Source organism: Homo sapiens, chromosome 11 (assembly GCF_000001405.40).
Source record: "Homo sapiens chromosome 11, GRCh38.p14 Primary Assembly".
NCBI lineage: Eukaryota > Metazoa > Chordata > Mammalia > Primates > Hominidae > Homo > Homo sapiens.
The window spans coordinates 123,642,440-123,654,713 of NC_000011.10; the positions used below are offsets into that span (position 1 = coordinate 123,642,440).

Below are 12,274 nucleotides of genomic sequence, written 5' to 3' on the forward strand. Positions count from 1 at the left end.
CCTCACCCTCCTCGGTGACTCTTAGGGGGATCAGCCGCGTCGTCTTCACAAAGGGCCGATGCGCCTCAAACTCAAACTCCCGGGACACATTGCAGGTGTAGAGGCCAGAGTCGTTCAGAGTGACGTTGAGCACAGTGATGGACACGTCCTGCAGGTCCTTGCTGCCATTCCACTGCAGGCGCCCCTGAAAGGGGCTCTCCACCTCCTGGTGGCCATTCCGATACTCGTAAATCTGCAGATAGAGGAGCAGAAGAGGGTAGGGCCAGGAAAGGAGATGGCAGTGGGGGGAAGCCGAGTTAGGGACAGGGCAGAGAAAAGGAGCAGAATTGTGCATGGACAGGGAAGAGAGGGGACAATGCCACCGGGAGACCCAGAATGTGGGGGTGGGATGAAGAGGCACAGAGGAGGGTAGGGAAGGGAGCAAAGACAGGGAAGGACAGGCAGAGGCAGCAGGCATCAGGGCATGTGGACGTGGTGAGGACAGAGGCAGCCACGGGCGTGTAGGAAGAAGCTTGGCAGAAAAAAAGGGGTGGAAAGAGGGAGAACAAAGGCAGGCGGGAGAAGAGTATGGGAGCCCAGGAGACGGACATTGAGAGAAAGACAGGATTGTAAAAAGATAGAGAGAACAAGAGAGTAAGATGTGTCCCAGAGCCGCTGGCAAGAGAACAAGGTAGAGACAGCAAGACAGGCAGATTCATTAGTAATGAAGACATATGAAAGCCCTGGCTTTAAAACTGGACTCTCTGTGCTGGTACTCATCAGGGGCTGTAGGACAGTCTGGGCCAGGCCACAGGAAGGAGGCCCAGGATGCTGAAGCATGGCAGATGAGCAGAGAGCCATCACCAGAGAGGCACACGTCACATCTTTTGCTTTGGACTGAATTTTAACTAAAATATCATCTTTTAAATTTCTTTCCTCAACACTTCCACCCTCTGACATAACAGCCAAACTCATTTCTGACTCTAGCTTCTATGTGCCATTCTCTCTCTACAGCTGTGCTGGCTATTCTAGTCTCCACTAGCCACATGTAGCTACTTAAATTCAATTTCTTAGAAGTTAAATACAATGTAAAATTCAGTTCCTCAGTGGCACTGGCCACATTTCAATTATTCATAGCCACATGTGGCTGGTGGCCACTGTATCGCACAGCACAGATAGAGAAGGTTTCCACCATCACAAACATTTCTATGAGACAGCCTTGCTGTGGATTTCCATGGATGTTTTGCTGTTGCCGTTTTATTTTTCATTTTCTTCTTCTTCTGATCCACCTTTTCCTCACTTTGGGCAGGCCTGGAAGCAATGTGGGCAGCTATCACTGGTACATGACCAGGCCTGAAGGCCCTGGGGGCCTTTGCATCTGGCCAAGACATCCAGCCTCCTGCAGCTGGGGGCTAGCCTCAGTTGCAGCTTCATTGACGTGTCACTGTCACACCTGAGCCAGGCTCTGGGAAGTCTCCGCTGGTCCCAGTCTTAGTACCAGACGGTTGCAAATCTGCATCAGAATGGCACATAGAAGCTAGAGTTAGAAATGGGTTCGGCTTTAGGATAGTGAGAAAGAAGAGCAAGCTAAACCCAGTTTCGCCCTTCCATTGTCTCTGTTACAAATCTTTGTGGAGGAGAAACTTGCCCCCAGGAAGGCAAAGCAGTGCCGTAAAAAGGGCCTTGTATCTGCTGTTAGACCACCTGGCTCAAGTCAAAGCTGTCTTAGTTATTAACTTAACTTCTTTGAGCCTCAGTTTCCTCATTTCTGTGTCTATCTTTTCTCTAGCAAACATTTACCAGTGCTTACTATATTCCAGAAACTATTTTTAATGCATTAAAAATTATAGCTCATGAGTCCTGGTAACAGCCCTATAATTTGGCTATGCTTTATATCCCCACTTTAAAAATGAGGAAACCGAGGCACAGAAAGGATGACCAACATGTCCAAGGACACAGAGGTGATAATAAGTGTGAAGTCAAGAATCAAACCCAGGTGGCCTGGCTCCACAGTCAGTGAAGGAGTAAATAATGGTCATCTCCAAGGTGGTATTCAAAATATATGACAGCCGACCAGGCACGGTGGCTCACACCTGGAATCCCAGCACTTTGGGAGGCCGAGGTGGGTGGATCACCTGAGGTCAGGAGTTTGAGACCAGCCTGGCCAACATGGCAAAACTCTGTCTCTACTAAAAATACCAAAATTAGCTGGGCATGGTGGTGGTGCCTATAGTCCCAGCTACTGGGGAGGCTGAGGTGGGAGAATCGCTTGAATCTGGGAGGTGGAGGTTACAGTAAGCGAGATCACACCACTGCACTCCAGCTGGGTGACAGAGGGAGACCCCGTTGAGAGAGAGAGAGAGAGAGAGAGAGAGAGAGAGAATATATATATATATATATATATATATATATATATATATATACACACACACATATATACACACACACATACATATATATATATACACACACATATACAACCACTTTGCCACTGGCACCAACCACCCAGAACTGACACTGGCTATGGTGCAGGAGCAGAATCTGGAAGACTCCCAGCTCTGCCAGGAGCGAATCTCTTCGTTTCCAAATCATGGATAAGTCTGGGGGTTCAGCCACTTAGGAGACTCGGCACAGCAAGTATCCACGAGAGAACTGTTTGACATAATTGACTCACTGATGTGGCTGTGCTGGGTGTCCCGGGTGAATGTCACCCTTGGATCACTCTTTGTCATCCCTGTCATTCCTATTTCAATGGGACTGCAGGAGTTAAAGGAGCTAACCTTTGTTATTTCACATAATGATGCTTTGTGTTATTCCAATTTCTTTATGAATTTAATGCATATAATAGGATGGCACAGAAGATTAGATGAAAACACCTGCAAAATGTGTGGTAGGGCGCCTATCACATAGTAGGCTTTAAATATAGCATATCTCTTTCCTCTGCTTCCTCCAGCCCATAATCAAGGGTGCTTGCAGCTGGCCCAGTGCCCTTTCTCTCACAGAAGCTGGGGCTTCACTAAGGCTGTCAGTTATCTGCTGAGGATCTGTCAGTGTTTGGAAGAGAAGGAGCCAGTGTTTGCTAGCTTGGCATCCCCCGGACTGTCAGGAGCCAGGCTGGGAACAGCAGAGGCCAGCAGAAGAAAGGCCAGAGTCAGCAGTCTAACATACAAGGAAATCTTTACCGCCCTCGGGCCTGTAGAACCATTCCACCACCGTGGTGGCCTCCACCTCCTCTCTCTTCATGCAGGAGATGCAGCGCAGCTTCATGGGGTTGCCCTGCACGGCCTCCGTCTCCGAGGGCACTTCCACACACACAGGGAAGCAGACACTGACTGCAGAGAGGACAGATGGACAGGGAAGGAACAGCAGGTGGTGGGGGAGGGGCACAGGAGAGAAACATTGGAGAAGAAGGAGGGAGGGAAGAGAGACAGAGAAGGAAGAGTCATGAGGCCAACCTGAAAAAAGCCACGTGCACATGTCTACACCTTCACCTGCGCTCCCTGAATGTACAGGCTCAGAACGTGTACACATTGGAGGAGACCTGGATGATCTAGACATTGACTGAAATCCTTCCCCTGGAAGCAGTGGAGATGCAGCACCGTACATTATACTTGAGCCCTGCTCTCTAAGTCTTATAGCCCAAATGGGAGACAGGGCATCTACCTACCCAGCAACCATCCATCCCCCTTCATTCCACCACCACTCATTAAAATCCACTCTCTGCCAGGTCTGATGCTAGACTAGAGATGCAAAGATGAATAAAACACTAACCATGCCCTAAATGCATTTATAATCCAATAGGGAACACATATTCCTAACTAGGATTAAACCAGACCACAGCAAGTAACACACTCATGATATATTCTGTTCTTAGAAGACAGGCAGTTAGTTACTCCCAGTTGGCCTGGGGAGAAAGGAAGAGAAGGATGGTGAAACATGAGGCTAGAAAGGTAGGCAGGGCCCATGCTGTGAAGACCTCTGTGTGTCCCTTCCAGTGTGAGGTATCCAATGTTTTAAAGTCGTGGAGAGATGTAATTGTATCTGTGTTGTGTGAAAACTGTAGGTAATTCTGACACATGGTGGAGGTTGGAGCAGCAGTGAAGAAAATGGCGAGCGGACCACTAAGCTGGAACAATGGTCTATGCAGAGGAGTATAGCAAGGCAAGTTAAAATCTGGAGCGGGGTCAGATTGTGGGACACCTTGCATGCCACACAGAGGTCTAAGACTTAGTGTTTCTGCCCTCTAGAAACTTGAAGTCTGTTTTTTAAAAGGAGGCAAGTATATCAGCTTGATAATTCAGAATAACTTGAGCGGGACAAGGCTGCCAGCAAAACATGCGCAAATGTGAGCTGCATTAACAGATGTACAGTACGCAGGAGGAAGGAGGCGTAGTTTCTCGGCACTGTTTTTGGAACAAATCTGGACTATTATGATCAGTTCAGGATGTCACATTTTAAAAAAGGAAGTTGTTCAAAGAGTGCATGCCCAGAGGTGAGGGAGATGGTGAAGGATCTGGAGATAAAGTCTGGTGAGGAAAAAATGGGAGAATTCGAGTTGCTTAGCTTGGACACAGAACATATCTGTCTTCAAATATTTGAAGGCTGGCAGATGGAAGAGAAATTTGATTCTGCCCAACCCTAAAAGTTATAAGAAAAAAATAAGTTTAATGCAATAAAGAAAGAATTTTATGATTTTGGAGCTGTTCACAAATGCAAATAACTAAATGCTAAGAGAGTGTACACAGCATTGTTTGGGATATTTGAAAGTAAGACGAGGCCAGGTGCTGTGGCTCACACCTGCAATCCCAGCACTTTGGGAGGCTAAGTTGAGAGGATTGCTTGATGTTAGGGGTCTGAGACAAGCCTGGGCAACATAGTGAGACCCCTGAGTCTACAAAAATAAAATAAAATAAAAATTAGCCAAACATGGTAACACACAACTGTAGTCCCAACCACTCAGGAGGTAAGAGGATTGCTTGAGCCCAGGAGTTTGAGGCTGCAATGAGCTATGATGGCACCACTGCACTCCAGACTGGTTGACAGAGTAAGACCCTATCTCTTGAAAAAATAAAAACAACATGATGGTCACCGCAGATTCTTATATTAGGACTTTGAAGATCCCTTCTGATGCTACTTTTTCATGAATTAATAATAAAAACAGAACCCCCAGAAAAAAAAAGAAATAATACACACTACATTTAAAAACTAGTCCACTGTTAATGGTCAGCCTGTTCATCTCCTGGCAGAGCGTTCTTTCCTAAAAGCAGAGGAAGGTTTTATTTAGAGCTTAATAAGACACTGCCATAAATTAATTTTGAGTCCAAAAACTGTGTTTGATTGACTTAGAAGGCAATGTATTTATTTTAAAACATGGAGTTTAAAAACTAGTGGCACTAGAATTAACTTAAAGTTGTAAACATCAAGGTAAAATAAATGTAATTGGGTTTTCAACTCTCCAGCAAGCTGGGTGAGTCTTATCTGACAGTCTTCAAGAGGACCTATTGCTTCTGCAGATGGTGAGCCACGTTAATGGAGAGAGGACTCACATCTAGGGAGAACTGATCAGAAACATCTTCAGCATATGATGAGTCTGAAGTATTGATTATAGATCTGATTAAACAAAAAGGAAATGTGGTTTGCGCAAAAGTTTGTGAGTGGGCAGAGGGGTAGAGCGTATGCAGCAAGAACTCCGTGTAGTATGGAACCTCAAGGCACATTCATATTTAATGAGAGCTGGCAAAGATAAATTCATTCATTTCATGTTGACAAACTCAGAAGTGGACTAAGAAGTCTCAAGGAATGCACAGTTACAATTATAGAGGCAGGGTGAAGATAGAATCTGGCAACTGAAGAGTTGGGTTTGATGTACTATGTAATCTCTCTGGACTCAGTTTATTCATCGACATCATGCTGAAAGTTACATCTGTCTAGTAGGTTTATCATGAGAATTTTATGGATTAATTTACATGAATGTGCTTTGTACAAATGTCATTATTCATGTTATTCTATCTTTCGTTTATTTCCCAAATATACTGAGTGCCTTCTGGGTGCCAGGCATTATTCTAAGCACGAAGAATACACCAGAGAACAAAAGAAAAGAATCCCTGTTTTATGGAGCTTACATTCCAATGGAGGGAGAGGGAAAACAGCAACATTAAATAGTAAAAAGTGCTGTGAGAAAAAATAAAACAGGAGAGAGTGTGTGCACAGGGTCATTGGAGGATGGCCTTTCTGAGAAGGTATCATTGAGCAGGCGCTGAAGAAAAGAAATGAGGATACAAGCTATACACATATCTGTGTGAAGGCATGTCAAACACAGGAAATTGCAACTCAAGGGCTCAAGGGGCCCAAAGGAGTGTGTTTGTCATGCTCAACAGACAGCAAACAGTCCAATGTGGAAATTACAGCAAACAACGTGAGAATAGAAGGGGATGAAGTAGTAGGAGGGATGGGGAGGGCCAGATCACAGCAGGTCTTATTGGCCATGTTAGAACCTTGGCATTTGCTTAGAGTTTATGGCATTTGCATGGAGCAGCAGAAGGTTCTGAGAGGAAGAATGATGGGATCTAATTTGTACAAGATCATATGATCTGATGCTGTGTTGGGAATAAACTGATGAAGTGAAAGGGACAAGGGTGGAATCAAAACAGTTAAGAGGTCTGGTACAGGGATCGGATTGGAAGACGATTTTGTTTTGGTGAAGATGACAGTAGAGCTGGTGGAGTTTGAAAGAAATGAAATGCAAGAAAATGATTTGCTGGATTAACATCTTTGAAAAGGTGAGAGGTGATGTGCTCTAGTGAACAAGTAGATGGGATGGCAGAGATAGAAGCATAGTTAGTTCATTTATAGTTAATGGAGGGAAAGCAGTCAGGATGGCAAATGGGGTATGGCAGAAAGTGGGGTAGCCCCTCTCTTTTCTTGGTTGCCCCTAAGGCAACAATAATCCAAGGTATCATCATAGAGCAAGTCCCACTCCTTCCCTTCTGGTCAAAATCTAGTTTCAGGGCATGAGAACTCTGCTCGTATGATCCTGAAGAGTACATTGAAAAATGGCCACAAAGTTCCCCCACCTCTGTTTGCTTGCCTTTTGCAGTATGACTTGCTGCTCCTTGCTTCAAGAGGTAATGTCTGTTTCTCCATCCTTTGAGTCTTCAGCACACCACTGTCTTTCTTTCTTTCTCCTTTCTTTTTCTTTTCTTTCTTTTTTCTTTCTTTCTTTTTTTTCTTTCTTTCTCTTTCTTTCTTTCTTTTTTTCCTCTCTCTCTCTCTGTCTCTGTCTCTCTCTCTTTCTTTTTTTTTTAGATGGAGTTTCACTCTTGTCACCCAGGCTGGAGTACAATGGCATGATCTCAGCTTACTGCAACCTCCGCCTCCTGGGTTCAAGCGATTCTCCTGCCTCAGCCCCCTGAGTAGCTGGGATTACAGGCACCTGCCATCACGCCCAGCTAATTTTTGTATTTTTAGTAAAGACAGGGTTTCACTATGTTGGCCAGGCTAGTCTCAAACTTCTGACCTCAGGTGATCTACCCACCTTGACCTCCCAAAGTGCCGGGATTACAGACATGAGCCACAGCACCCAGTCCACCACTGCCCTTCTTTCTATGAAACCCTCTAGGTATTCAAAGAAGGCTGTAAATATGGCAGGAGCTCAAACTACATTGCTGACTAAAAGTAACAAACTCTTGGAATAATGTTGACCAAATCATTTGACCTTTGTTCTTCTCTTCAATTCCCATAATAATAATGAAGAAATTTATGAGAAGGAAAAACATGATTATTAATAATGATCATATTTCACTAGGGAGTAGTAGCATCCATCTATCATGAGGCAGATAATAAAGAATTATGAACCAGCTTCTCTGATACCCTCAAATCTTTCTCTTCTTTGGACAATGCCCAATTTTTCCTCCTGAGATTGCTCTAGAATGCTTTCCTTTGCACTGAGATAATGAAAAATTTGATTAGAATATAAACAATTTCCAAAAAGGGGTAATAAATGAGGTTATTTTTAGATGCTGACACCCTGACGTGACTTGTTCTGTCAATTTAGCTGGTCACTTAGGGCCTTGAATAGGATGCACGAAAGATCACCAGGGGAAGAGAGGAAAACACACAGGGCAACTAGAAGGGCAGGCCTGGAGAAGAAGGGCAGAGAAGGTACTAGGTGCTAGTGAGTGAGGCCCTAGGACAGGTGATGGTGTTGGGGAGAGATGGGACGGTAGCTCAGAAGAGAAATGGGAGGACAGGTGCCCTCCTGGCGATTGTGCATAGTAGCACATGTGTCCATGAGAGGTGCTAGAAGGAGCACTGGAAGACTGAAATCAGAAAACAAGGGTTCTCTAGCAAGTCCTTTCCCTTCCCCGAGCTCATTTTCTCATCTCTAAACTGGAAATAGCACTCTTTCCCCTGACTACCTCAGGGATAGACATGAGGACCAAAACAAGCAATGTATTGAAAATTACATTGTAAACTGTGATGCACAGGCAAATATAGGGTTTTATTTATTTATTTATTTTAAAGGCTGGGCATGGTGACTCATGCCTATAATCCTAGCATTATGGGAGGCTGAAGCAGGAGGATTACTTGAGCCCAGGAGTTAGAGACCAGCCTGGGCAATATGGCGAGACATCGTCTGTATTAATTTTTTTAATACAATTATTATTATTTTATTGTATTAATTATTTATTGTATTAATTATTTATTGTATTGTATTATTTTTTAAATCTCTTTAAAAAATAAAAATTATTACATGCTTTAACAAAGGAAATAAGGAAACTTTTTTTCATGCATGCAGAAAGTAAATGGAAAGACTCTTTCCCTTCATATTGTACATCATATTAAAAAATCAACTTTGGAAGGGGGAACACATCTAACCCAGCATTATTGTTCAATATTGGAATTGCATGCAAATCAAATGAAATTGTATCTGTGAAGGGCGGCTGTTTTTCTTTCTTTTTTTTTTGATGGAGTCTCGCCCTGTTGCCCACGCTGGAGTGCAGTGGCACAATCTTGGCTCACTGCAACCTCCACCTCCCAGGTTCAAGCAATCCTCCTGCCTCAGTCCCCCTAGTAGCTGGGATTATAGGCACGCACCACTATGCCCGACTAATTTTTGTATTTTTAGCAGAGATGGGGTTTCGCCGTGTTGGCCAGGCTGGTCTTGAACTCCTGACCTCAGGTGATCCACCCGCCTCGGCCTCCCAAATTGTTGGGATTACAGGCGTGAGCCACTGCGCCTGGCGAAGGGAAGCTGTTTTTCTTACAGTTAACAACCAAGTGTCCTGAACCACTTCTCTTTCCCTTCCACAGCTTTTCAGTTTGGTGAGACAACACTCAGTTTGCAAAGAAACTGAGAATGGGCAAAGATGGGCATACTGTGTACACTTCTTCCAAAGTTTTTTGGGGTCGGGGAGGGGATGGGCACTCTGTCAATTCTAGCAATATTCTTCAAAGATTTCTCTACCATTCATCTGTGGAGCTGAAAAGGATGTTAGATATCACCCGTGCCAACTTCCAAACATTACACAGAAGGAACCAGATAGCACTTTAAGGTTGTTATATAGTAAGCTAGTGGCAAAGCTGAGACTCCAATGCAGGTTGCACAAGTTCTAGTTAAAAGATTCTTGGATGATAGCATGTTCTCTCCCTCCACTGGAATTCAGGCAGGGATCTCAAAATCTTAGATTAGAGTTCAGGAAGAAAGTCTCTGCAGAGTCTCACTCCAACCCTTATCCACAACTTCAGCTTTACCGACGCTCTTTTTATCTGGCCAGGCTAACATCTTCTAAGCCTCGTGTCCTCAGCCTTAGCCTCCCCTGAGAAAATTTCAGCCTTAATCTTCAAGGCAGGTGAGATCATTGGCAACATATTATAGCTGCTCCATCTCCAGGTCTGGTCTACTCTACTGGGGATGGCTGGTGATGAGTCCGCCTTTGGGGCTGACATTACCTCCCTCCTCAACCTTCCTAGTCCGTCTCATCAGGCATTTTGACAGGAAGCTTGGCTCTGCCTCTGGTCACATGCAAAATCCAGATAATGCTGGCAGCTAGAGTTAGTCCTGGAGGCTTGAAAAAGTAATACTAAAGCAAAGAGGCAGCTCCCATCAGCATGTCTGCCACCGTATAGGCAGGATGAGTTTCATGCCAACCATGGGAACATAAGCTCACATGCCTCGTTTCAGGGAGGCAGGTGGGTACAATTGTGTCCAATTACCCTGTGTATTGATTTTTGCACGGAGAAAGGTAGCTAAGATCATGTAAAGCAATCTGTCTGCTGAAGAGAACCTATATTTTATCTGAGGATCTAATCATAGACACCAAGGCAGACATGCCCAGAACTACCACCCCCACCCCTGCCATACACATACTACTACACTCACCCATGCATTCAGATGTCTATGCCAACATGCTCACACACATGCTAGTGCACACATCCAGACACTGAAATATATTTACATACAGTAAAACATTGTCTCAATCACACAATCAGACATTATCACATAGATCAATCCCCTTTACACACATTCAGGCACTCCAAGACCGTCTCTGACACTCTCTTCAGCCTTTACTGTTCCAAGTGTAAGATTCCCTTATTTGGAGGGGGAAGGTCACCTCAGTTTCTCACAGCTGACAAGCAAGAATCTATTCACCTTTGAAGGCAAAAACCCAGCTCTCCTCCCCTAACACCAAAGCATCTTAGTTCCACAGGTTCATGCAACAAACAAACAAACCAAAAAAAAAAGAAGAAGAAGAAAAAGAAAGATGCATTTCACAGTTGCCTATTTATTTAATATATAGCAGTAAATGGCTGAAGGCTGTTTTCTTCCCATTCCTTGTTAAAATTAAGAAGATGATGAGCAACTAAAGTATTTTCACTCTCAAAATTCATGCATCCAGCTTTTATGGTTTTTTTTTTTTTTTAATATACAGAAACGAATTTGAAGACCCAGTAAGCTTTCCAGGAGTATAGACTCCTTGATGAGAAATAAAATGTAACCACACAGGAGGTTTTTATTCGTGAACGTGACTGCATTTCCTTTCAGCAAAGGGAAAGGGAAAAAATACTTTGGAATGATCAGGAAACTGGAGGAAGGGCGGAAGAACCACCAAAGGAGGTTGGAGAATAGCGGGGAAGGGCGGTGGGGAGGCGCCTTTCCCATCTCAAAATCCCAGCTCTCATGGAACCCCTGCCATCTCCATGTCTGGCAGATACGCACAGAGGCAAGCCAGCCAGAGCTCTTTTCTGTCACCAACGACATCAATGTGTTATTATTGTTAGCATTGTTACTGTTACCTGCATCCGGCATGGCGAGGTGCTGGTACTTACCCCAGTAGATAAGCACGAGAGAAGCCAGGGGAAACAATCTATTGAAGGCAGGCATCTTCTGGGGCTGGCGGCTTCCAAGGCTACACAGAGAGATTCCCTCGGTCAAGGACTGCGCCCTCTCAGATTCTTTCGAGGAAACCCTTTGGGACGAACTGCCCCCAGGGGGCGACTTTCTGACCGAAGGAAGGGCCGAGCACCGGTGCCTGGGGAGGCCCTGGGAGCTTTTGGAGCCGGGTGGGGGCTTTGGGCCCTAAGCGACCCCACTGGACCTCCCCAGTTCGAGGGAGCCGATCAGCCGCTCCGCGCCCGCTCTCGCCGGCGCTCAGCACCACGGACAGTCGCCTCCCCGCCCACCCCGGAACTCCAGCTTCCACTCGCGCCCCTGCCTCGCTCGTTTGCGCCCAGGGTAAGCTCAGCTCGGAAGGGAGTCGCACTGCTGGCCTAGCAGCCAGGCTGTGGAAGGGTCCAGGTTGATTCACCTCTCGCCTCCCCAGGATCGGTTGCGTTCCGACTGGAATCCTCCCAGCCCCGCGGCTCCTGCTTCGTCCGCCCTAACTGCTTCTCCAGCTGGGCGTGACCCCACTCCCGAAGCCGCCGGGGCCGCCCGTCTGGGCTACAGAATGCGTTCCACGTCGGTCCCGTCCACGCCCGCCCTCGGCTCCCTGGGGAGGTGCAGCGGGGCCGGGAAGGAAGCGGCAGCTCCCGTTCGGCCGGCGATGTCAGAGGTTGGGGGGTGGGTGTAGAGGCGGAGCCCCTTCCCGGGAGCTCGCCCCCGGATGGTGCGGGGCCCCGACCCTGGGTGGCAGGTGATCAGCAACCCTTCTCTAGGCCCCCAGGCCGTGTGTGCTGTCAGCCCTGACATGCGCAGGCGGCTCTCCGCCACCACCACCGCCCCGGACCCTCCCCCTAGTGCACACTCCCCACCCCCTGATGGGCGTGCCCCTCCCAGGCCCAGCGCCGCGCCGAG

At 46.2% G+C, this 12,274-nt stretch overlaps 1 protein-coding gene and 1 long non-coding RNA gene across 4 annotated transcripts in view, besides 2 other annotated features; one reads left to right on the top strand and one right to left on the bottom strand.

The window, feature by feature from the left end:
- Window positions 1-12,185, bottom strand: part of SCN3B (sodium voltage-gated channel beta subunit 3) — a 25,437-nt gene extending 13,252 nt beyond the window's left edge. For 2 of the 3 annotated variants that reach the window (XM_011542897.3, NM_001040151.2), the window contains exons 1-4: window positions 11,787-12,185; window positions 11,308-11,387; window positions 3,148-3,311; window positions 7-232 (exon numbers count right to left, since the gene is read on the bottom strand). In XM_011542897.3, coding sequence (XP_011541199.1) covers window positions 7-232; window positions 3,148-3,311; window positions 11,308-11,362 — 445 coding nt within the window. In that variant the 5' untranslated portion in view covers window positions 11,363-11,387; window positions 11,787-12,185. Of the gene's footprint in view, window positions 1-6; window positions 233-3,147; window positions 3,312-11,307 lie in introns of all 3 variants that reach the window. The other variant, NM_018400.4, reaches the window with a different exon arrangement.
- Window positions 11,246-12,274, top strand: part of LOC105369543 (uncharacterized) — a 19,316-nt gene continuing 18,287 nt past the window's right edge. Inside the window, exon 1 of the long non-coding RNA XR_948124.4 lies at window positions 11,246-11,713. This is a non-coding gene — a long non-coding RNA (uncharacterized LOC105369543). The remainder of the gene's footprint in view (window positions 11,714-12,274) is intronic.
- Window positions 11,569-11,638: a silencer, noted in NCBI's record as "silent region_4020". NCBI's record gives its function as "represses an Ori minimal core promoter by ATAC-STARR-seq in GM12878 lymphoblastoid cells {active_cell/tissue: GM12878}" and the evidence as "EXISTENCE:reporter gene assay evidence [ECO:0000049][PMID:35858748]".
- Window positions 12,199-12,274: part of a silencer, noted in NCBI's record as "silent region_4021", that runs on past the window's edge. NCBI's record gives its function as "represses an Ori minimal core promoter by ATAC-STARR-seq in GM12878 lymphoblastoid cells {active_cell/tissue: GM12878}" and the evidence as "EXISTENCE:reporter gene assay evidence [ECO:0000049][PMID:35858748]".